Source organism: Homo sapiens, chromosome 2, assembly GCF_000001405.40.
Source record: "Homo sapiens chromosome 2, GRCh38.p14 Primary Assembly".
In the NCBI taxonomy this organism is placed as follows: domain Eukaryota; kingdom Metazoa; phylum Chordata; class Mammalia; order Primates; family Hominidae; genus Homo; species Homo sapiens.
Window position 1 is genome coordinate 200981889 of NC_000002.12, and position 22592 is coordinate 201004480.

Consider the following 22592-nt stretch of genomic DNA (forward strand, 5'->3'; position numbering starts at 1 on the left):
ACAGACTCAGCAATAGCTAAATTAAATAAGAAGCAGCTGTGAATAACAACACTGACCTTATCTCTTGGGCAATGTTCGCTATAGGTTGTCAATGGCCCTACTATCAACACTTCCCCTAAATAATTTAGGGGAAATCTTAATCTACACAGAATTCTACTATGCTAATAGATGTTAGTTTAGCTTTATTTAGTCCAGTTTTTGTACAACTATCCACAAACATATCTAGTATACTGTCAATATTTAGGCATGTAAAACGACTAGGTAAAATACAACAGTTTGTTAACATAAATTTTTATAATACACTATCATTCTTCTTCTGAAATGACCATATCTACCTACTGGAAAAAAAAAAAAAAAACTTTTCCCCTCATACCTTCTTTAACCCACCATAAGATGTGCAAAAGAGACCCTCTTCTAATTCCAGTTATCCAGAATTATACCAAAAACCCATTTATGCTTACAGGCCAAACTCTTTTTAACTATAATAAAATTTTATATTTACTCAGTGGTTGGTTAACTGCTTCTATATGGTTTTAGAACCTTTAACATGGAACTAGCAAATTTTTTAAATAACTCAAAACTATATTGCTTCTGTAACTTCACAGTCATATTTTGTCTATGGCCTTTTCTACTCACTGGTTTCCATATTTTGATCAATTAATGTGAAGAAAATATCAGAGAGCAGTGGTAGGGAACCAGCAGGGGTATTTAAGGATTTATATTTTCTATATGGTATGTTTTGATAATATTTTATGTAATTATTTCTATATTTTAGATTCTTAGTATTGAGATGTATTGTCATAATCACAAAATACGATAGTGTCCCATCACATTTCATTTCATGCAGAAACTGCAGTTAACAAAATAATTTATTTATTTATTTTTTTTGAGACAGTCTTGCTCTGTCACCCAGACTGGAGTGCAGTGGCACGATCTTCAGCTCACTGCAACCTCTGCCTCCCAGGTTCAAGTAATTCTCCTGCCTCAGCCTCCCGAGTAGCTGGGATTACAGGCGTGTGTCACCACGCCCAGCTAATTTTTGTATTTTTAGTAGAGATGGGATTTCACCATGTTGGCCAGGCTGGTCTCCGACTCCTGACCTCAAGTGATCTGCCCACCTCAGCCTCCCAAAGTGCTGGGATTACAGGCATGAGCCACCGCGCCCGGCCAACAACAGAATTCTTATCTTGGGTTTTTGTAGGAAGAAGAGAAGAATATATAATATACTGAGCTTGCAGTTTACAGAAAGCCAATTCTCTTACTGAAAGTATGATGAATATTCTCTTAGAAAGTAATACATTTGCTTCTTTCAATAACTCATATTGGTTTGCTACCTATTAAATACATTTTCCAGACTTCTGTAAAGTTTAATCTGAATCTACAAAACAGATATCAACATTACAGGTAAGGTAAAAATGTTAGGAAAGAATCTAAACAAATATTAGAGATATAGGTTACCTAAGCAAAATATATACAAAATATTTAAACACAATCTTTTATTTAACATAGCACCTGGAAAAATAAACTATTTACTTAGCTATATTTACTCATATGGATTATTTTCTTCCTTCTAAAGAATGAAATAAGCTATCCTTAAAGCAAAAGGCACCTTATTATATCCAGCAGTTTAATAATCTTTAATCATCATGCAAAGCCATATGAAAATGCATTTACTAAGAACAGTAGCAGCTGACACCACTTCTCTCAACCTCTTCAAAAGAACTGTATATAATGTACTTTTATAATGTACCTCAAAATAAAAACTTTAAATTATATTCATATGATACATTTTAGTAATTTACTTACAATTAGTATAAAGAACTCCAAAATGCCCAAGAAAGGATAGTTATTGGGTCAGAATTGATATTAGTGATATAAAACTGGGAGTGAACAGAAATGTATCATTAGGTATATTTATTAGGAAAGGAGACTGAGAGACTTAGTGCTAGCTTCTGAATCTTGCTACATGCAGATCTGATGCCCAAGCAATATGGCCATAAAAAAGATGATAACATAAAAGCCACCATGCAAGAGAATCTACTGATATTTTATATACTAAGAAATGCTTAGTATATATAATGGAATACTGATTGTACTTTAATCACAGGTATTATCTTCAGTTTAGTAATAATTTTTAAAAACATTTATTTATTTTTATTATTTTTTTTTGAGACAAGGTCTCACTCTGTTGTATAGGCTGGAGTGCAGTGGCACGATCACAGCCCACTGTAGCCTCAACCTCCCAGGCTCAAGTGATCCTCCCACCTCAGCCTCTTAAGCAGCTGGGACTACAGGCATCTGCCACCATGCTTGGCTAATTTTTGTATATTTTGTAGAGATGGGGTTTTGCCATGTTGCCCAGGCTGGTGTCAAACTCCTGGGCTTAAGCAATCCACCTGCCTGGGCCTCCCAAAGTGCTGATATTATAGGCATGAGCCATCGTGCCTGGCCAGTTTAGTAATAATCTTAACTCCAGCTTTAAAAGTCATAAATAGAATGTACTTGACAATCAGGAGAAAAGTAAGTGATGGGCTTATATTGTCCCTTCAATTTCAACATGTAATAAACCCAATTTTAATTGTAAAATTATTTAAAGCCATCATAGCAGAAAACTAGTCAATAATCTATGTTAATCCAAAAGCTTGAGCAGAGTTCAGAATTACCAAGACTTTTCATAGGTTTTAGTAATTTCCTTTCTTCTGTTTAAAAAGCTTGGTGGGGTATGGTGGCTTACGCCTGTAATCCCAACATTTTGGGAAGCCAAGACAGGCAGATCCCTTGAGTTGAGGAGTTTGAGACCAGCCTGGGCAAATGGCAAGATCTTATCTCCATAAAAAGTTAAAAAATTAGCCAGATGTGATGGCACCCACCTATAGTCCCAGCTACTCAGGAGGCAATGGTAGAAGGATCACTAAGTCCAGGAATTCGAGGTGGCAGTGAGCTATGAATCTTAAGGAGGCTGGCTGCAGTGGGTCACACCTGGGGAGGCCAAGATAGGAGGATTGCTTGAGCCTGGGAGTTCAAGACTAGTCTGGGCAACATAGCAAGACCCCATCTCTACAAACAATTTAAAAATTAACTGGGCATGGTGACATGCCTGTTGTCCTAGCTACTGAGAAGGCTGAGGCCAGAGGTTTGCTGGAGCCCAGGAGTCTGAGGTTACAGTGAGCTATGACTGTGCCACTACACTCCAGCCTGGGCAACAGAGTGAGACCATCTGGGGGTCGAGAAAAAACCCTCAAGAAAGAAAAAGGCAATTGTGTCTCAAAACATTTTTCCTTTGTAATTTTCTCCAAAGGTGATAACAATACCATTCATGGTCCAAAGAGGAGACATCTGAAATGGAATTTTTTTATTTTTTTTTATTCCTTTTTGTATTTACACTGAACGCCAAGAAGCTATGAAATGGATTTTTAATGAACTTTTCTATTCATGGCTGACTTTACTTACACATTTGGCTTCTGTTAATACTGATTTAAAACTACAAATAGGCCAGGGGCGGTGGCTCATGCCTGTAATCCCAGCACCCTGGGAGGCTGAGGTGGGCAGATTGCTTGAGCCCAGGAGTTTGAGACCAGCCTAGACAACATGGCAAAACCCCATCTCTACTAAAAATACAAAAAAACTAGCCGGCTGTGGTGGCGTGCCTGTAGTCCTAGCTATTCCAGAGGCTGAGGTGGGAGGATCACTTAAGACCAGGAAGTTGAGGCTACAGTGAGCCTTGATTGTGCCACTGCACTCTTGCCTGGGCGACGTGAGTGAGATCCTGCCTCAAAAAAATAAATAAATAAAACTACAAATAATCTGGATTAAAAGGTAAAATAAGGAAACATTCCTCTTTCCTTGTGGCTACACCCTCTCCCTCCCTCCCCCAAATTGAAATTTTACCAGTGATAGATATTAAAATAGGATATTTTAATATTTTATAGGATATTAAAAAGGAACTACTATTTTGTTTCATTTGTTTCAAAGTGTATGACTCGATGTACTGGAAGGAATGCTTCAATCTAATCCCACACTTTCTGGAATTTCAGCAACTGTTGATTAACATAGTACTATATTTAGCATAAATACTTCCAATATTCTAGCAATAGTAGTAGATAAGTGGCTCAGTCATTCAGGAATGTTCAGTTTAGGCCAACTCTGGGTTCCACATCTATTCATCTTTTTATTGTTATGTGTTTATACAAGATAAAACTTACTCCTAGGGATAATGTAATAAGATACAGGGGAAAAAGGGAACGCTGCCATCTTTCAGAGCCATTTAAAGGATCTCTCAAACAGCACCAACTTTTTTGGGTCCCTAGGTCATGCACATGCAACACTGTTAAATGAATTAAGGTCAATCTGGGTAAATGGGCAAGGGAACAGAGGGTAGATTTAGATTCTTACTGAGCATGCTCAAATTTCTAATGCACCAAAGAGCAAGAGTTCCCTATGGTGGAAATTAACTGCTTTATGTATGTTTGGTCTTTAAGTAAAAATATATAACCTCTTTTAAAGCTACTTGCTTGATTTCATAAATAAGTATAAAGGTTCCACAGTAGCAATACATTAAATAATTTTTAAAAAAACTGGCTACAGTTCCCTCTTTTACAAAGCTAAAAATTCCTACGGCATTACATGCAAAACAGTAAGTAAATACTTTTCCAACAAAGAGAAGCATTCTTTTACAGATGGGGGTTCGGGGGGGAAGGGTATTAAAAAACCCCTCCATGTTGCGATACCTACATTGTAGAAATAAGGCTCTACTAGGATATCTGACCTCTAAATAGAATAATACATTTTAATTCCATTGAATTGAATACAACCATTATTTACAATAAATTGTAAAATGTACTGTGCATCAGGATAGCACATTTCTAGAAGGTATCAGTAGTTTACTAGTTAGGCCTAAGCAACTTAATCTACAGATGATAAAGCCAATGAATATCAGCATACTTTGTCAAAGAGCTGAGAAATTGTCCATTGAACACCATAGAATTACAGATAAATCAGCTGGCTCCACTTCAATGTCTTAATGATAATATGCTAATGTTTTAAAACTCTCTTCACAAAATTTTAAAGAATAAATTATTGTATAAATAAAATCATTCATATTGATGAATAAGGCTCATGTCCACTGGGTGCATTTTTCTTTCCTAATGTTAGAATAAACATGCTCAGTAATAAAAAAATTCCAAGCATTTGCAGACCTTTTGGAGACAGGACCCTGCCTTGTTAGTAGCCATGCCAAGCTGTTCCTTGATTACACAGGGATGCAGACTCCAGGCCAGCACAAATAGTAACTAAAGATTGCACCTGACCTGGTGCTATGTATATGAGGAGGGAGGGTGCTTTGCAAAGAGAAGCTAATACACCCTGGGGTACTAGAAACACACATTAGAATGGAAAGATGCTCTGCTTGGGGATAGAGAGCCAGGATCCTTCTCCAGCAACTGCCTCACTGACTTCTGCCTCCTCATCTCTGTCCTACCCTCTGTTGTGGCTGTTGCTGAGTTGGGCTCCGGCGAGCCATGCTCAGGGGTCCTGCGCACCAGCACCTCCCCCTCTTGCACACGTTTGATCCCTAGGTCAGTGGAGCCGTGTTGGATCGGGGAGCCAGGAATACTCGAGTCAGCCTCGTTTGAGAAGTCAAAGCCATCTGGGATTCAACATATAACATTTTAGTGCTTTTATGCTGCTCTATTATTTTCTGAGCATTTTGACCCAGGCAGATAAGAGAATGTATATATGGATATGATATAAACACAAACACTATTTATATAGTTACATGTGTGTGCATGCTGTGCACACACATAAGGCAGCAGATGAACAATGTGAGGTTTGCAAATGAATTAAGACAGAAAAATCAGGATCATTAAAATGGCAATATCTCTTAGGCAAGACAGCTTGACTATTCAAGTACCATGTGTATGAAATACTGCTGGATTCAGCACTTACAAAAAAAGGAAAGGCAAAGATAAAAATCCAAAATCAAGAATAAATCATTTTATGAATAGCTTGCATTATACTGTTAGTTTGGCCAGTTATATAGTTTTTCCCACAGTGCTCATATGTGCACCTTTTTTTTTCCAGTATGGTAACAAGGTTAAAGCAACTTCTTTCCTATTGTTCTTATTTAGTTCAAAAAAAGACAAAATTTAACCTCATCTTATTTTGTTTTAATCTTTATACAGCAATCTAAACATCTATTTTATAAATACATATTAAAATAACTTTAGACATTTAGTCACATTTCTAGTGATATTTTTAACAAAAAAAATTACTTTAATTATACAGGGTCTTTTAATATCACGTGCTAAGACAGTCTGTAAAAACAGTGATAAATTTACTTGACTCCATGTGTGGACTATGGGGATTTTGTACTCACCTTCTCTTCTCCATCTATGACGACGGATTGAAGCTGTTGTAATTGCAGTCCGAGAAATCCTCGGCACTGTTGGAGTGACTTCAACTTTAAGGACTTTCTGGCCTTCTTGTGTAGAATCAGGAGCATCAAATGGTAATGAGTTTTTCATGGCATTGGCAACCTACAATGATAATATAAGTCTATACAAGTTTACAATCAATATGCAGTTTTTGTTTATACTACATGTGTCCATAATTTTCGAATATGTATTTAAAATTTGCATTATAATGTGTAATAAACATATCTTTGTTGTTCTGTATTCTTTTAAGCAGGCTTTTCAAATGAGAATTTCTAAAATATGAGTCACATACCCCACTGATGCCTTAAAATTGTTGACTTTCAAAGAGAAAAAGCATTCCAAAGAAAGAATTAACATATAAACTCTGATTATGAGACAATTTAGAATTGTCTGATTCTTCAGATGATAAATAACATGCAAAATTTAATCTCTGATAAACATTAGGATGTTCTCCACTCTTCTGTTTACATGAGGAGAAATGTTCCCTAAATACTTCTGGCATTTTGTCCTACCATTTTCTGCTCCCTGAAAAGGAAAGTGACATACCTGGTAATTGCCATTTGACTGATGCATGTTTCCTAATTGGGTTGTACTAATCTAGCAAAAATCTTGAGCTAAAGGATTGTCTTGCTCCTTCCCTCTCCACTTGGACAAGCCCATGTGGAATTAAGCAGCCTGGATAGGTGTGCCTGATCAGCTCACTCAAACATTCTTTCCAGTGGGCTGTTCCAAGGTCTAGATGTGAAGGAAAGTTGAGTCTTTCAATTTAGCTTTTAACAGTAATGAAAATACTTGTTCCCCATCTACGAACTATTTTTCTGTTTATCACGTGGCTCTAGATTTGAATAGGGAAAAAGGGTATTATTACTGGGTCCCTCAGAGACCACTGACAATAAAAGAATACTGTTAGTAACACTAGAGTTACTAATCTCTTTACCTGTATTGCCTTGGAAATGCCACCTCTACTTAATTTACAAGATTGTTGAAAGGATAAACTATTAATTTAAAGAGATTCATAAGTTCAAGGTACTACTATGATGATATAATTTTTTAATCTTTTTATCCATTTGTTTTAATATAACTCTTAGGGTAAGATTAGGAAACAAATGGGAATTCAAATGGAGAATTACTGCAAATGCTACCTCAATAAATTTATATTTAGCTTAAAGTATTTTAAAAATGATATAAATAAAATGGCTTTTGAGAAGCTGGGCCAGGCAAGGTGGCTCATGCCTGTAATCCCACCACTTTGAGAGGCTGAAGCAGGCAGATCACTTGAGTCCAGGAATTTGAGACCAGACTGGGCAACATGGTGAGATCTCGTCTCCACAAAAAAATACGAAAATTTGCTGGGTGTGCTGGTATGCACCTGTAGTCCCAGCTACTCAGGAGGCTGGGGCAGGAGGACCACTTGAGCCCGGAAGGTGGATGTTACAGTGAACTGTGATCACACCACTGCACTCCAGTATAGGTGACAGAGTGAGACCCTGTCTCAAAAAATAATAGTAATTTTTTGAAACAATAAAATAAAAAGCTGTATTCTTACAATGCTGCAAGTAGAAAATAGTATTTTAAGAATACTGTTATCAAAATATTACAAAAAGCTTAGGAAATTGGAAAGGAATAAAAATCCATAGTCAAATCACCGAGACAACTATTATAGCATTTTGTATGTTTCCTCTGTCCTGTCTAGATCTAAAAAATAGTTGTATACTGTTTTTCTACCTCATACAAGCTAGCACTTCCCTTTAATATAAAACCTCAAATATATAATCTCATCAAGTAAATATTATATAACTTAAATCATTCTCTGCTGTGGGACATTTAGACTGTTTTTATTCCTTTGCAATTAGAAATAAAACTGTAATGTTGTGCTTATAATACATTGTCTTTGGTATTTATAATTTTGGTATTAAATTTAAGTTTAGTTTCCTGGAATACATTGCTAGACATGGGATAGAGGGTCAAAGAAATAAACACACATTACCAAACTGCTTCTTCAGGGGATAGTCAGAGTTGTGTCATACTACTACTGTAACATAAAGAATGCCTTCCTCACTTCACTACTGGATATTTACATTTTTTTTTGTTTTGTTTTTTGAAACAAGGTCTTGCTCTGTCACCCAGGCTAGAGTGCAGTAGCATGATCTCAGCCTACTGCAACCTCTGCCTCCCAGGTTCAAGCAATTATCATGCCTCAGCCTCCCAAGCAGCTGGAATTACAAGTGTGCACCACCACATCCCGCTAAATTTTTTTTTCTTTTTTTTTTTCAAATGGGGTCTCACTCTGTTGCCCAGGCTGAGGTGCAGTGGCATGATTTCAGCTCACTGCAACCTCCACCTCCCGGGTTTAAGCAATTCTTTGCCTCAGCCTCCCAAGTAGCTGGGATTACAGGCGCCCGCCACCGCGCCCAGCTAATTTTTTGTATTTTTAGTAGAGATGGGGTTTCACCATCTTGGACAGTCTGGTCTTGAACTCCTGACCTCGTGATACACCCGCCTCGGCCTCCCGAAGTGCTGGGTTACAGGTGTGAGCCACAGCCCCTGGCCTTAAATTTTGTATTTTTTTGTAGAGACGGGGTTTTGCCACGTTGGCCAGGCTGGTCTTGAACTTGTGGCCTCAGGTGATCCACCCGCCTCAGCCTCCCAAAGTGCTGGAATTACAGGCATGAGCCACTGCACCCAGCCTTACATTTGTTTTTTAATTGATCACTTACCAGTTGGAGATTTGTTTATTTTGTGGGAGAGTACAAAATCTTTTTACATAGAATGAAATATTAATTTGCTTATTTGTATCATGACTGCTGAAAATATGTTTCTCAGTTTGTGCCCTGCATATATTAATTTTGCTTTTAAAAACGTGATGGAGGCCAGGCGTGGTAGCTCATGCCTATAATCCCAGCACTCTGGGAGGCCAAGGCAGGCAGATCACTTGAGATCAGGATTTCAAAACCAGCCTGTTCAACATAGTGAAACTCCATCTCTACTAAAAATACAAAAATTCGCTTGGGAGGCCGAGGTGGGTGGATCACGAGGTCAGGAGATCGAGACCATCCTGGCTAATACAGTGAAACCCCATCTCTACTAAAAATATAAAAAATTAGCCAGGTGTGGTGGCACACGCCTATAGTCCCAGCTACTCAGGAGGCTGAGGCAGGAGAATCGCTTGAACCCAGGAGGCGGAGGTTGCAGTGAGCTGAGATAGCGCCACTGCACTCCAGCATAGGAGACAGAGCAAGACTCCGTCTCAAAAAAAAAAAAAAGAAAAAATCACCTGGGCATGGTGATGCCTACAATCCCAGCTACTTGGTAGGCTAAGATGGGAGGATCGCTTGAACCCATGAGGCAGAGGTTCCAGTGAGCCAAGATCACACCACTGCACTCCAGTCTGGGTGGCAGAGAGAGACTTCGTATCAAAAACAAAATAAAAATAAAAAATTTAAAAAAACTGATGGAATAGGCTGGGTGTGGTGTCACACATCTGTAATTCCAGCACTCTGGGAGGCTGAGGCCAGCCTTGGCAACACAGAAAGACCCTGTCCCTATAAAAAAAATACAAAACAAGAAACAAAAAAACCCCCAAAATCCTAATGGCTTAGAATTTAGGTGTTTATGTCGGGGCCGGGGGGGGAGGTGGGCAAATCAATCTTATTTTAGTGACTTGTCCTATCATTTATGCTTAGAAATCTTCCCTTCTCTAGAAATCTGAATATTTAGAACCTTTTCTTCTCTCTTTTCTTAAAGGATTTCAAAACGTTTAGTTATTCACTTTATCTGAACTTTATTTTGGTACTGGAAGGTGGAAAGGACCTAAACCTATTTTGTTTTTTCTCTAACAGTTAACCAACTGTTATCATGGAATACAAATTTTCCCCTAATTATTTGGATTGTCTTACATTTTTAACCTAGTACCTTTTTTAGGTACCAGTATATTTAATAAAGAGTTAAGATAATAACTTACCAATAGTGGTTGAGAAAAAAGCTCTAGCTGGGCTCTATAAATGATATCATCAAGAACTTCCTGGCCAAGGTCCCACTGTCCATTATACCTATGAAGAAGCAGATCATTTATACTCTTGAGCAAATATCTAATCTTCAGCACAACTTTTTAAATTGTTCCAAGTCCTGCTATTTTGGTTGTGAAGCAAAACTTTCATACCAAGTGTTACGTCATTTCATTTATAAACTATCCCACTTTTGGTTATAAAAACAAAACAGATTTTAAATATTATGTTTACAAATGTTTCTTCACATAAATTGGTTTTTATTACATGCTGATATTTAGAGTAATCTTTTCAATGCGTTCATGAAAACCTGGGTTATGAACTATGTAGAGATAGTTTTCCATACAGAAAACCTGACAATTTCTAGACTCCAATTTTAATGACTAGTTATGTTATATTTTGGCTTATTTAAAAGTACTAAAAGGAAACCATATTAGAAAAACAAGATAAGCCCATCATGGAACAAAAGATTCAGTATTGTGTCGGATAAGGAAGAAAGAGAAATATTCAAAGTTTCTAAACATTAGGAAGAATTCATACAATTTTATATTCCACCTACTTACATGGCATAATAAACCCCTGTGAGAAGTTGCACCATAAATTCAGGATCCAATACTATTCGACCACAGAGTTCTTTCCAGTGTTTTTCATGTTGCCGTGGAAAGCCACTCACACAAACCCTAGGAAAATACACTATTTAACATGTGATTTCCAGATTCATCAAATAAAATAGTTTTTGTTTTCCTAAATTCATTTATTCAATTTATTCATTCCTCAAGTATATATTGAGTGCCTGTTATATACCAGTCATCGTTCTGGGCCTAGGCATACAGTTGTGAACAGGTGAAAGATAAAAAATAAAAAATAAAAATCCGAAATCTGTGCTCTCATAAAGCACTCATTCTAGTGGACTGCCCATAAAAGCAACTTTTCTGAAATAGCTAATCATCTCTTTCGCAATCATCCTTCTTTCTCTTCACACACATACACACAAAAATGTCTAACTTTTACTCACCCCAAATTGTATCAGGGTGAATTACTGGGAAGTATAGAGATCTCAAAACAAAAGGACATTTCAAAATACTGTTGTCTGTGAGGCCATTTTTAAACAAAGAACTATAAACAACTCCCTAACATCCATTCAATCTCATTAAGTGATGCTTCCAAAAAAGTTATGCTTGATAATGATCAACAGTTGTAATATACTACATTATTTAATCAATTAATTTAGTAAGATAATTATAATAGTGAGTCCAGAAGAAATCTTTCAGTGTTTAGTGCCTTATGGTCTTGGGAAATTTTTTTTTAATTGTTTATATATTTTTTATAGCAGAGACATACAATAAAAGACCTGCAATTTAAAAATAGCATTATATGGCCAGGCGTGGTGGCTCACGCCTGTAATCCCAGCACTTTGGGAGGCTGAGGCAGGCGGATCACGAGGTCAGGAGATCAAGACCATCCTGGCTAACACGGTGAAACCCCGTCTCTACTAAAAATACAAAAAAAAAAAATTAGCCGGGCATGGTGGCGGGTGCCTGTAGTCCCAGCTACGAGAATGGCGTGAACCTGGGAAGTGGAGCTTGCAGTGAGCCGAGATCACGCCACTTCACTCCAGCCTGGGTGACAGAGTGAGACTCTGTCTCAAAAATAAATAAATAAATAAATAAAAATAGCATTATATTAAGATAAAACCATGTGGGGAAAGGGGAATGGAAATTTCTTCTTCAATTTCAAGGAGAAAAAGGAATAAATGTAATGTTAGACCATTAAAGAAAAGTTTCTTCATTTATTCCTCAAATGGATGATGGTGAGTATCACACCACTATGGTATTTACATTACATATATTTAAAACAGTGACCCAACAGTTATTTTTTTAATTATGTAGATACTTCCATACTAGAAATTATATCATTTCCTTTTTTTTTTGGAGACGGAGTCTCGCTCTGCCGCGCAGACTGGAAGTACAGTGGCCTGATCTCGGCTCACTGCAACCTCTGCCTCCCAGTTTCAAGCAATTCACCTGCCTCAGCCTCCCGAGTAGCCTCCCAAGTAGTGGACTACAGGCATGTGCCACCACTCCCGGCTAATTAGTAGAGATGGGGTTTCACTATGTTGGCCAGGCTGGTCTCAAACCCCTGACCTCAGGTGATCTGCCCACCTTGGACTCCCAAAGTGCTGGGATTAGAGGCATGAGCCACCGCGCCTGGCCTAGAAATTATATCATTTCTACCTATTTAAGATAGGATGAAAATTTTTTAATGTCAACTTAACAATGTACAAGGAGTACATACATAGTTTTTCAAAATTCTGTAGAGGATATATGAACAAAAGAACAAAAGTTTGAGGACCACTAAACTCCGCCATCATTTTTGTTATTAAGAAATTCTATTAGGCTGGGTGTGGTGACTCATGCCTGTAATCCCAGTACTCTGGGAGACCAAGGTAGGAAGATCACTTGAGGCCAGGAGTTCAAGACCAGCCTGGACAACACGGTGAGACCCCATCTCTATAACAAATTTAAAAATTAGCCAAGTATGGTGGCACATCCCTATAGTCATAGCTAATAAACAGGCTGGGGTGGAAGGACTGCTTGAGCCTAGGAGTTCGAGGCTGCAGTGAGCTATGTATAATGATTGTGCCACTGCATTCTAGCCTGGGTGACAAAGGAAGACTCTCTCAAAAAAAAAAAAAAAGAAAGAAAAAAATTCTATTGAAGGCCACAATAATGTTGCCAATAAGAGAACAAGCAGTTTTCTTTTAATGAACCAAAAGTAATGAATTATAAATAAGTTTATCTGCAGATAGGGAGTAAGTGCTTAAGTAGCATCTAAATTAGAGACAAGAATTTTGTTAATCATGGTATTACAGTTAAGAGAAACATATTTTTAAGTAATCTATAAAATCAAAGTAACAGCTAATTTAGATGGGCAAAATTAATAAGTTTTGTTATAAGCAGGATCTCTTCCCAGTAACAAAATAGCATGTGACCTTGAGCAAAGCACTTGTGGTGGACAGACTCTTGGAGAGCCATGATCCCTATGATCTTTCTGGTATTCACACTGTGTCATGCCCTTCCCCTTCAGCACGGGTGGGATCTACAGCTTGCTTCTAACCAGCAGAATAAGGCAAAGGTGATGGGATTCCATGATTATGTGTACGTGAGTACGTTACATAAGGTAACAGGTCTTGCTGGAGTCTCACTCCTCCCACGTTGAAGAAGCAAGCTGCCATGTTGTAGGTTGCCTGTGTTGGGAGGCCAATATGACAAGGAGCAAAGGATGGCTTCCAGCACACAGCTACAAAAAACTGAAGCCCTCAGTCCTACAGCCACAGGAACTCAATTCTGCCAACAAAACTTCTGAGCCTCAGATGAGACTGCAACTCCAGCTAACATCTTAACTGCAGTCTTCTAAGATGCTAAGCAGAGGAGCAGAGGACCCCAGCTAAGCCATCTGGATTCCTGACCCACAAAAACTGTGAAATAATAGATGTGTGATGTTTTACCCTGCTCAATTTGTAGCAATTTATTATGCAGTAATAGAAAACTAACACAACATTTAACCTTTTTGGGGGATTGATATCCTCAAGTAAAAATCATTTTGAAAGGCTGAATTCAGAATTCCTTCTATAACTGAACTTCTGTGCCTCTAAACATCCATTGTCTCTGAACTAATTTGTATCACTTAAATTTTTCTTTTTTCTTTTTTTTTTTTTTTTTTTTTGAGACAAGGTGTCACTCTGTCGCCCAGGCTGGAGTGCAGTGGCGTGATCTCAGATCACTGCAACCCTGCCTACCAGGTTCAAGTGATCCACATGCCTCAGCCTCTCAAATAGCTGGGATTATAGGCATGCGCTACCACCCAGCTAATTTTTGTATTTTTGTATAGAGACAGGGTTTCACCACGTTGGCCAGGCTGGTCTCAAACTCCTGACCTCAGGCCTTGGCCTCCCATCATGCTGGGATTACAGGCATGGGCCACTGACCCTGGCCTACATTTTTTCTATGGTAGAAATTTAACGCCAGGTGTGGTGGCTCATGCCTGTAATCCTAGCACTTTGGAAGGCCAGGGCAGGCAGATCACTTAATCCCAGGAGTTTGTGACCTGCCTGTGCAACATTGTGAAACCTGGTCTCTTTTAAAAAAAAAAAATAGCCCAGCATGGTGGTGGGCACCTGTAGTCCTAACTACTCAGGAGACTGAGGTGAGAAGATCACTTGAACCTGAGAGGCAAAGGTTGAATGAGCCAATATGGCACCACTGCACTCCAGTCTGGGTGACAGAACAAGATTTAAGCCTAGGTCTGTCCAAATTATTAGAAATTATGATTTAGTAAAGATTATAATCCATGAGATACAGAATATCCACCCCCTACATACAAATGAGACACACACATCATTGGTACTATTGCTAATCACTTTCTCCAACACAGAGACAGTTATTTATGAAATGTATGGGAAGAGGTTCATATTCCTTAAGACTTTCCCCATATATAGCACTATTTTTTTTCAAAGATCTCAAAGTGATTTACAAAAACTGGCAACCAGGGAATAAGATATATCACTAAACAACCCTAGATTTGGATGTCTTGGTACAACTCCACGTTCAGCTAGAAAATATTTCTTTAATGCTGAAAACATTTTCAAGAATGCACGAGGCCAGGCATGGTGGCTCACACCTGTACTCGCAGCACTTTGGAAGGCTGATGTGGCAAGAATGCTTGAGGCCAGAACTTCAAGACAAACCTGGGCAACATAGCAAGACCCTTTCTCTACAAAAATTAGCTGAGAGTCGTGGTGTACACCTGTGGTCCCAGCTACTTGGGAGGCCCAGGCGGGAGGATCCCTTGAGCCAAGAAGGCTGAGGGCACAGTGAGCTATGATTGAGCCACTGTACTCCAGCCTAGGCGACAGAGAGAAATCCTATCTCATAAAAAACCAAAACAACAACAACAACAAAAACAGCCTCATGAGGATAAGGACTCCTACAGGAATGCAAGCTCCATGAGTTTTGTTTACTGCTGTAATACCAGAAGTTAGAACAGTGCTTGGCTTAGAGAATGTGCTCAATAAATATCTATCAAATAAATATGAAGATTAGTAATAATCACTCTTCTCACCTGGAACCCATCCGACAAAGAGATTGGTAAGATGAGGCAGGCATATATACAATAGCAGAATTATAACACAGCATGAGAAAACTCAGGACTTCAAACCTAAAAACAACAAATGCAAGGTTAAAAGGATTACAAATAATTACTTCTACTAGCAACTGGTTATGACAATGCCTTAATATTGACCTTTATGATTTCTTAATCAAATCAATATAGCATCTTCCTCAAAGGTTTCCCTGTTTATATTCTCCTTATTACAAATCATAACCCTTGCTGTCATCTTGTCATCTATATTTCCGTTTTTAAAAAATAAATCAGGCCAGGTGCAGGGGCTCATGCCTGTAATCCCAGCACTTTGGGAGGCCGAAGTGGGTGGATCACAAGGTCAGAAGATCGAGACCATCCTGGCTAACACGGTGAAACCCCGTCTCTATTAAAAATACAAAAATTAGGCAGGTGTGGTGGCACATGCCTGTAGTCCCAGCTACTCAGAAGGCTGAGGCAGGAGAATTGCTTGAACCCGGGAGGCGGAGGTTGCAGTGAGCCGAGACTGTGCCACTGCACTCCAGCCCGGGCAACAGAGTGAGACTCCATCTCAAAAAATCAATCAATCAATCAATCATGCTTGAACAGATGACTCCCCTATGAATAAGTCTACCATCTTCCTACTGACTTCATAATAAAATCCAAACTTATCACAAGGTCCTTTAAAATCAAAGTCCTTCTTACAAGGTACTTTAAAATCCACCCTCATCCTTCCTCTCCAGCCTTATTTCTCTCCATTACCAACCACATATACCACACTTTATCAATCTTCTTACCATTCCAACAATATGCTGTAACCATTCAGAATCCCTTGCTTTAATGCTTGCTGCTCCTTCTTAATAGAATATGCTTTTTTACTTGGGTGATTCCTGATAAGATTTCAAGTCCTAGATCAAATTTTTACCTTAGCCATAAAGCCCTTCTTAATTCTCTCTGCTAAAGTAAACCAGTCCCTTACCTCTGTAGCTCTAACATAGCATTTATCCCACTGAATTGTAATTTTACGCCTCTATGTCTCTTTCACCCGTTTAGTAATAAAGCAACTTTAGAACAGAGATCCTGATTTATTAATCTCTATCATTGGTGTCCAGCACGGTGTCTAATACATAATTGTTTAATAAATACTTGTTGAATGAATAAATAAATGCTTTCCTAACATTTATAATGTCTAAGAAAGTGGCTCCTAAATCTGGATGCACATTAGTTATTTAGAGACCTTTTTAAAAACATACACTTCTATGTCTTAACCCAGTTGACCCACTTAAATCCTCGGGTAGGAACTAGGGAAGTTGTACCTCTAAAAAGCTTCCCATAGATGAATGGTGAAGGGTTTATGGAAACTCTTTGTACTATTTTAGCAATGTTTTTTGTAAGTCTGAAGTTATTTCAAAATGAAAAGTTAAAAATCAAGCTGAAAGTCTGATCTGGAAGCAGCCATACTTTCAGATCCCTTCACTTTCTCCATATATCTAGGTAAAAGAATGGAGATTTATTCTCTGAAAGGATAAAAACTAATTTCTACCTGGGAGCCCTAGCTGTGATGGGGGTGGATGCCAAACTGAAAATAGGAAGATTAAGTGAAGTGAAATATACCTGCCTAGATATTGCCAGTTTGCCACCAAAATACTAGCAAAAAGATCTCTAGTTAAGATACCAGAAGAGTTGTTTCTAGGGAATTTGACCACTCTAAGAAGAAAGACTTAAAGATATGGACTTGGGAAATTTTCCAAATGAATGGCCTAGTGGGATCCTATGGTGAAGTTTATAGTCAGTTACTAAGTTGGTGCAAAACTTTAAAAAAAATTTTTTAAATGGCAAAACCACAATAACTTTTGCACCAATACTAGCTCAAATCAGCCATATATTAACATGGTCAGAGCTTCTCATTTTTTATTCCCTCTCCCCACTTTTTTTTTTTTGAGACAGAGTCTCGGTCTTGTCACCCAGGCTGAAGTATAATGGCATGATCTCGGCTCACTGCAACCTCCGCCTCCCAGGTTCAAGCCATTCTCTTGCCTCAGCCTCCCAAGTAGCTGGGATTACAGGTGCCCACCACTACACTTGGCTAATTTTTTTTTGTATTTTTAGTAGCGACAGGGTTTCACTATTTTGGCCAGGCTGGTCTCGAACTCCTGACCTCAGGTGATCTGCCTGCCTCGGCCTCCCAAAGTGCTGGGATTACAGGCGTGAGCCACCGCACCCAGCCTATTCCCCTATTCTTAAACATGAGGGAAAAAAGGTTGCCAGACATCTAAGGAACTCTACTAGGATGAAAAAGAGACTATAAAGAAATAGAAGGGCTGGGCGCAGTGGCTCACATCTGTAATCCCAGCACATTGGGAGGCCGAGGCGGATCATACAGTCAGGAGTTCGAGACCAGCCTGGCCAACATAGTGAAACCCCATCTCTACTAAAAATACAAAAATTAGCTGGGCATGGTGGCGCGCGCCTGTAGTCCCAGTTACTCGGGAAGCTGAGGCAGGAGAATCACTCGAACCCGAGAGGCGGAGGTTATGGTGAGCTGAGATCATGCCACTGCACTCCAGCCTGGGCAACAGAGCAAGACTCCGTCTCAAAAAAAAAAAAAAAAAAAAAAAGAAATAGGAGGCTCCGTCCAGTAGGTCATTCCTGAAATCCCAGCACTTTGGGAGGCTGAGGCAGGGAGGATTGCTTGAGCTCACGCATTCAAGAGCAGCCTGGGTAACATATTGAGACCCTGTTGGTACAAAAATAATTTTTTTAATTAGCGGGCCATGGTGGTAGTCCTAGTTACTCAGGAAGCTGAGGCAGGAGTACTTGAGCTCAGGAGGAGCACCTGAGCTCAGGGGTTCTAGGGTGCAGGCTGCAGTAAGCCATGATCATGCCACTGCACACCAGCCTGGGCAACAAAGCAAGACCCTGTCTTAAGAAAAAAAGAAAAATATGCAGAGCTAAAGCATATTTAGCTTTGGGGAAAAAAATGTATGTGTATTCCTGATAAAGTTGGCTACATAAAAAACTAAAACATACAGCAAAAACAAGTAAATACCAGAATGCCATATCACTCTTTATACCCATTAAGATGGCTACAATAAAAAAGATGGAAAATAAGCGTGAGAATGTAGAGAAACTGCTATCCTCATACACTGTTGTAGAAACGTAAAATGGTACAGCTACTCTGGAAAGAAGCATGACAGTTCCTCAAGAAGTTAAGTGTTGAATTACCATATGACCTAGCAATTCTATTCCTAGGTATATACTAAAAAGAACTGAAAAATGTATGTTCACACAAAAATTTGTGAATGCATGTTCAAAACAGCTGTTGTGGTCTAAATTCATGTTGAAACTTAATCATCGATATGGTGGTATTAAGAGGGTGGGGCCTTTGCAGCTGGGCAAGGTGGCTCATGCCTATAATCCCAGCACTTTGGGAGGCCAAGGCAGGTGGATCACCTGAGGTCAGGAGTTCAAGACCAGCCTGGCCAACATAGTGAAACCCTGTCTCTACAAAAAAAAAAAAAAAAAATTAGCCAGGCACGGTGTTGCACACCTGTAGTACCAACTATTCAAGTGGCTGAGGCAGGAGAATCACTTGAACCCAGGAGGCAGAGGGTGCAGTGAGCCAAGATCGTGACACTGCACTCCAGCCTGGGTGACAGAGCTAGACTCTGTCTCAAAAAAAAAAAAAAAAAAGAGATGGGGCCTTTGGGACACGATTAGGTCATGACAGCTCTGCCCTCCTACATTTGATTATCTAGAAGGTGCCATCTATGAGGCAGAGACTATGAGCCCTTACTAGACACTGAATCTGCTGGCACTTTAAGCTTGTACTTTCGAATCTGCAGAACTGTGAGCAATACATTTCTATCGTTTATATATTACCCAGTCTAAGGTATTTTGTTATAGCAGCCCAAATAGACTAAAGAGAGCAGAGTTATTCATAACAGCCAAAAAAGAAAAAATAGAAATAACTCGAATGTCCATCCACTGATGAATGGATAAATAAAATGTGGTATATCCACACAATGAAATATTATTTAGTTATAAAAAGAAAGTACTGATACATTCTACCACAGAAACAAACCTTGTAAACATGCTAAGTGAAAGAAGCCATACACAAAAGGCAACATATTGTATGGATCCATTCATGTAAAATGTCTAGTAATAAAAACTACTCAATTGTATGCTTTAAAGGGGTAAATTTTATTTCTATTTTTATTTTTTTTTTTGAGACAGAGTCTTGCTCTGCCGCCAGGCTAGAGTGCAGTGGCACAATCTCGGCTCACTGCAACCTCCGCCTCCTGGGTTCAAGTGATTCTCCTGCCTCAGCCACCCAGTAGCTGGGATTACAGGCATGAGCCACCACACCCGGCTAATTTTTGTATTTTTAGTAGAGACAGGGTCTCACCATGTTGGCTAAGCTGGCCTCAAACTCCTGGCCTCCAGTAATCCACCTGCCTCAGCTTCCCAAAGTGCTGGGATTATAGGCATGAGCCACTGTGCCTGGCTCCCTAAAGGGGTAAATTTTATGGTATGTGAATTATATCTCAATTTAAAAAATAAATGTAAAGTCAATAATTAGCTGAAAACGTGCAACATGAAAAACCAGTGTCAATTCCTCAATATTCAAAGAACTATTGCAAGTCACCAGGAAAAAAAAAAAAATACACAGCTCAATAAGAAAAATGGGGCTGGGCACAGTGGCTCACATCTATAATCCCAGCACTTTGGGAGGTCGAGGTGGGAGGACTGCTTGAGCCCAGGAATTTGAGACCAGCCTGGGCAATACAGTGAAACAAACCTCTCCCACCAATCAGCCAAAAAAAAAAAAAAAGGACAAAGGACATGAATATGCAGTTCATAGGTAAAGAAAAACAATAATGAATAACAATGTGACACCAGTTTTTAACTATCAGATTGGTAAAGATTAAAAACTTTGAAAATAATCAGTATTGGGAGTTAGTAGGAGGAAAAACTCTCAAACTACTAGTAGGACATTCAATTGGTATAGTTGCTTTGGCAAGGCTAATTTGACAATATCTACTCCAACTAAAAAAGCAGAGATTCTTTTTTTTTTTTTTGAGATGGAGTCTTCCTCTGTCACCCAGGCTGGAGTGCAGTGGCGCGATCTTGGCTCACTGCAACCTCCGCCTCCCGGGTTCAAGCGATTCTCCTGCCTCAGCCTCCCGAGTAGCTGGGATTACAGGCACCTGCCACCACGCCCAGCTAATTTTTGTATTTTTAGTAGAGACGGGTTTCACTGTGTTGGCCAGGCTGGTTTCGAACTCCTAACTTCGTGATCCACCCACCTCGGCCTCCCAAAGTGCTGGGATTACAAGCGTGAGCCACTGCACCCGGCCACAGATATTATTTAGCGTAACAATTCACTGCTAGGAATTTATCCTATAGATACTTTTCGTGCTCTCACGCAAATGTATGTACAAAAAATGTGTTCCCTGTAATATTGTTTATAGCAGCAAAAAACTGAAAACAATCTAAATTTACTCAATAAGAGACTGGCTAAAAATTGATGGTACATACATAAAATGGAATAATAACTCATCATTAAAAAGAATAAGATATCTATGTGCCACTAGAGAAAGAAATACAAAATTTTTTTAAGAGATTGGGTCTCGCTTTGTTGCCCAGGTTGGAGTGCAGTGGTGCAATCATAGCTTACTGCAGCCTCAAACTCCTGGGCTTGGTCCTCCAGCCTCGGCCTCCAGAGTACCTAGGACCATAGGCATGTATCACCACACTCAGCTATTTTTTAAGAGATCGGGTCTTGCTATACTGTCCAGGCTGTTCTTGAAGTCCTGGCCTCAAGTGATCCTCCCACCTCAATCCATGCACTAGGATTATAGGCATGAACCAATGTGTCCAGCCCAAGACTTATTCTTTAAAAAGCTGGGCTGGGAAGCTGAGGCAGGAGAATAGCTTCAACTAGTGGGGTGAAGGCTGCAGTGAGCTGAGATCGCACCACTGCACTTGTAATCCCAGCACTTTGGGAGGCTGAGGTGGGTGGATCACAAGGTCAGGGGTTCAAGACTAGCCCGACCAAAATGGTGAAACCCCATCTCTACTAAAAATACAAAAATTAGCCAGGCATGGTGGCGTGCGCCTGTAATCCCAGCTACTCAGGAGGCTGAGACAGGAGAATCGCTTGAACCTGGGAGGCGGAGGTTGCAGTGAGCAGAGATCGCGCCACTGCACTCCAGCCTGGGCGACAGAGCGAGACTCCATCTTAAAAAAAAAAAAAAAAGTGAAAACATATCAGCTTAGCAGGTTGGCTGAATTGCATGCAGTTTGCCGCTATGTTTGGGTTTTTTGTTGTTGTTGTTGCTTTTTTTTTTTTTTTTTTTTTTTTGAGATGGATTTCACCCTTGTTGCCCAGGATGCAGTACAGTGGCACAATCTCGGCTCACTGCAAAACCTCTGCCTTCTGGGTTCAAGTGATTCTCCTGCCTCAGCCTCCCGAGTAGCTAGGATTACAGGTGCCCACCATCACGCCCAACTAATTTTTTGTATTTTTAGTGAGACAGGGTTTCACCATGTTTTGGTCAGGCTGGTCTCAAACTCCTGACCTCAGGTGATCCACCCGCCTCAGCCTCCCCAAGTGCTGGGATTACAGGCGTGAGCCACCATGCCTGGCCTGTTTGGGTTTTTATCAGCTTATGAGTGGTGGCCAGTGGCCTGGCCATGTGGTCAGGCAGAAGGGTAATATAAAACTGGCCTAATAAAGGGGTGCCTGTATGGAAAAAAACAGGCATATGGAAATCACTATGGGAATTTGAAGCGTGCATAAGTAGGATATGTCAATGCACATCAGGAGAACTCCCTTCTAGAATCAGGTGACTGGCACCTATGGGCAAATATCCCTGTGTAGCCACCTGGAGTGATCACTTGGGTCCATGAAATGAGTGGACATGGTGGTACTGCAGCAATGCAGAGATGGGTTGAATTTAGACATATTTTTTGTACCCTCTGAGGCATAAAATGCCAATAAAACAGACAAAGA

The 22592-nt window shown here is 39.6% G+C and overlaps 1 protein-coding gene and 1 long non-coding RNA gene across 22 annotated transcripts in view; one reads left to right on the top strand and one right to left on the bottom strand.

Moving 5' to 3' along the window:
* The window catches only part of LOC105373835 (uncharacterized), a 55639-nt gene that overhangs the window by 18457 nt on the left and 14590 nt on the right, over positions 1-22592 (top strand). The gene's annotated exons all lie outside the window — the stretch shown is intronic.
* The window catches only part of HYCC2 (hyccin PI4KA lipid kinase complex subunit 2), a 97954-nt gene that overhangs the window by 8171 nt on the left and 67191 nt on the right, over positions 1-22592 (bottom strand). For 10 of the 20 annotated variants that reach the window (NM_001321624.1, NM_001321623.1, NM_001321627.1 and 7 more), the window contains 5 exons: positions 15557-15652; positions 10999-11115; positions 10393-10480; positions 6374-6533; positions 5477-5644 (listed from right to left, as the gene is read on the bottom strand). In NM_001321624.1, the coding sequence (NP_001308553.1) occupies positions 5477-5644; positions 6374-6533; positions 10393-10480; positions 10999-11115; positions 15557-15652 (629 nt within the window). Of the gene's footprint in view, positions 1-4142; positions 5645-6373; positions 6534-10392; positions 10481-10998; positions 11116-15556; positions 15653-22592 lie in introns of those variants that run through there. The other 10 variants (NM_001321618.1, NM_173822.5, NM_001321629.1 and 7 more) reach the window with 2 other exon arrangements.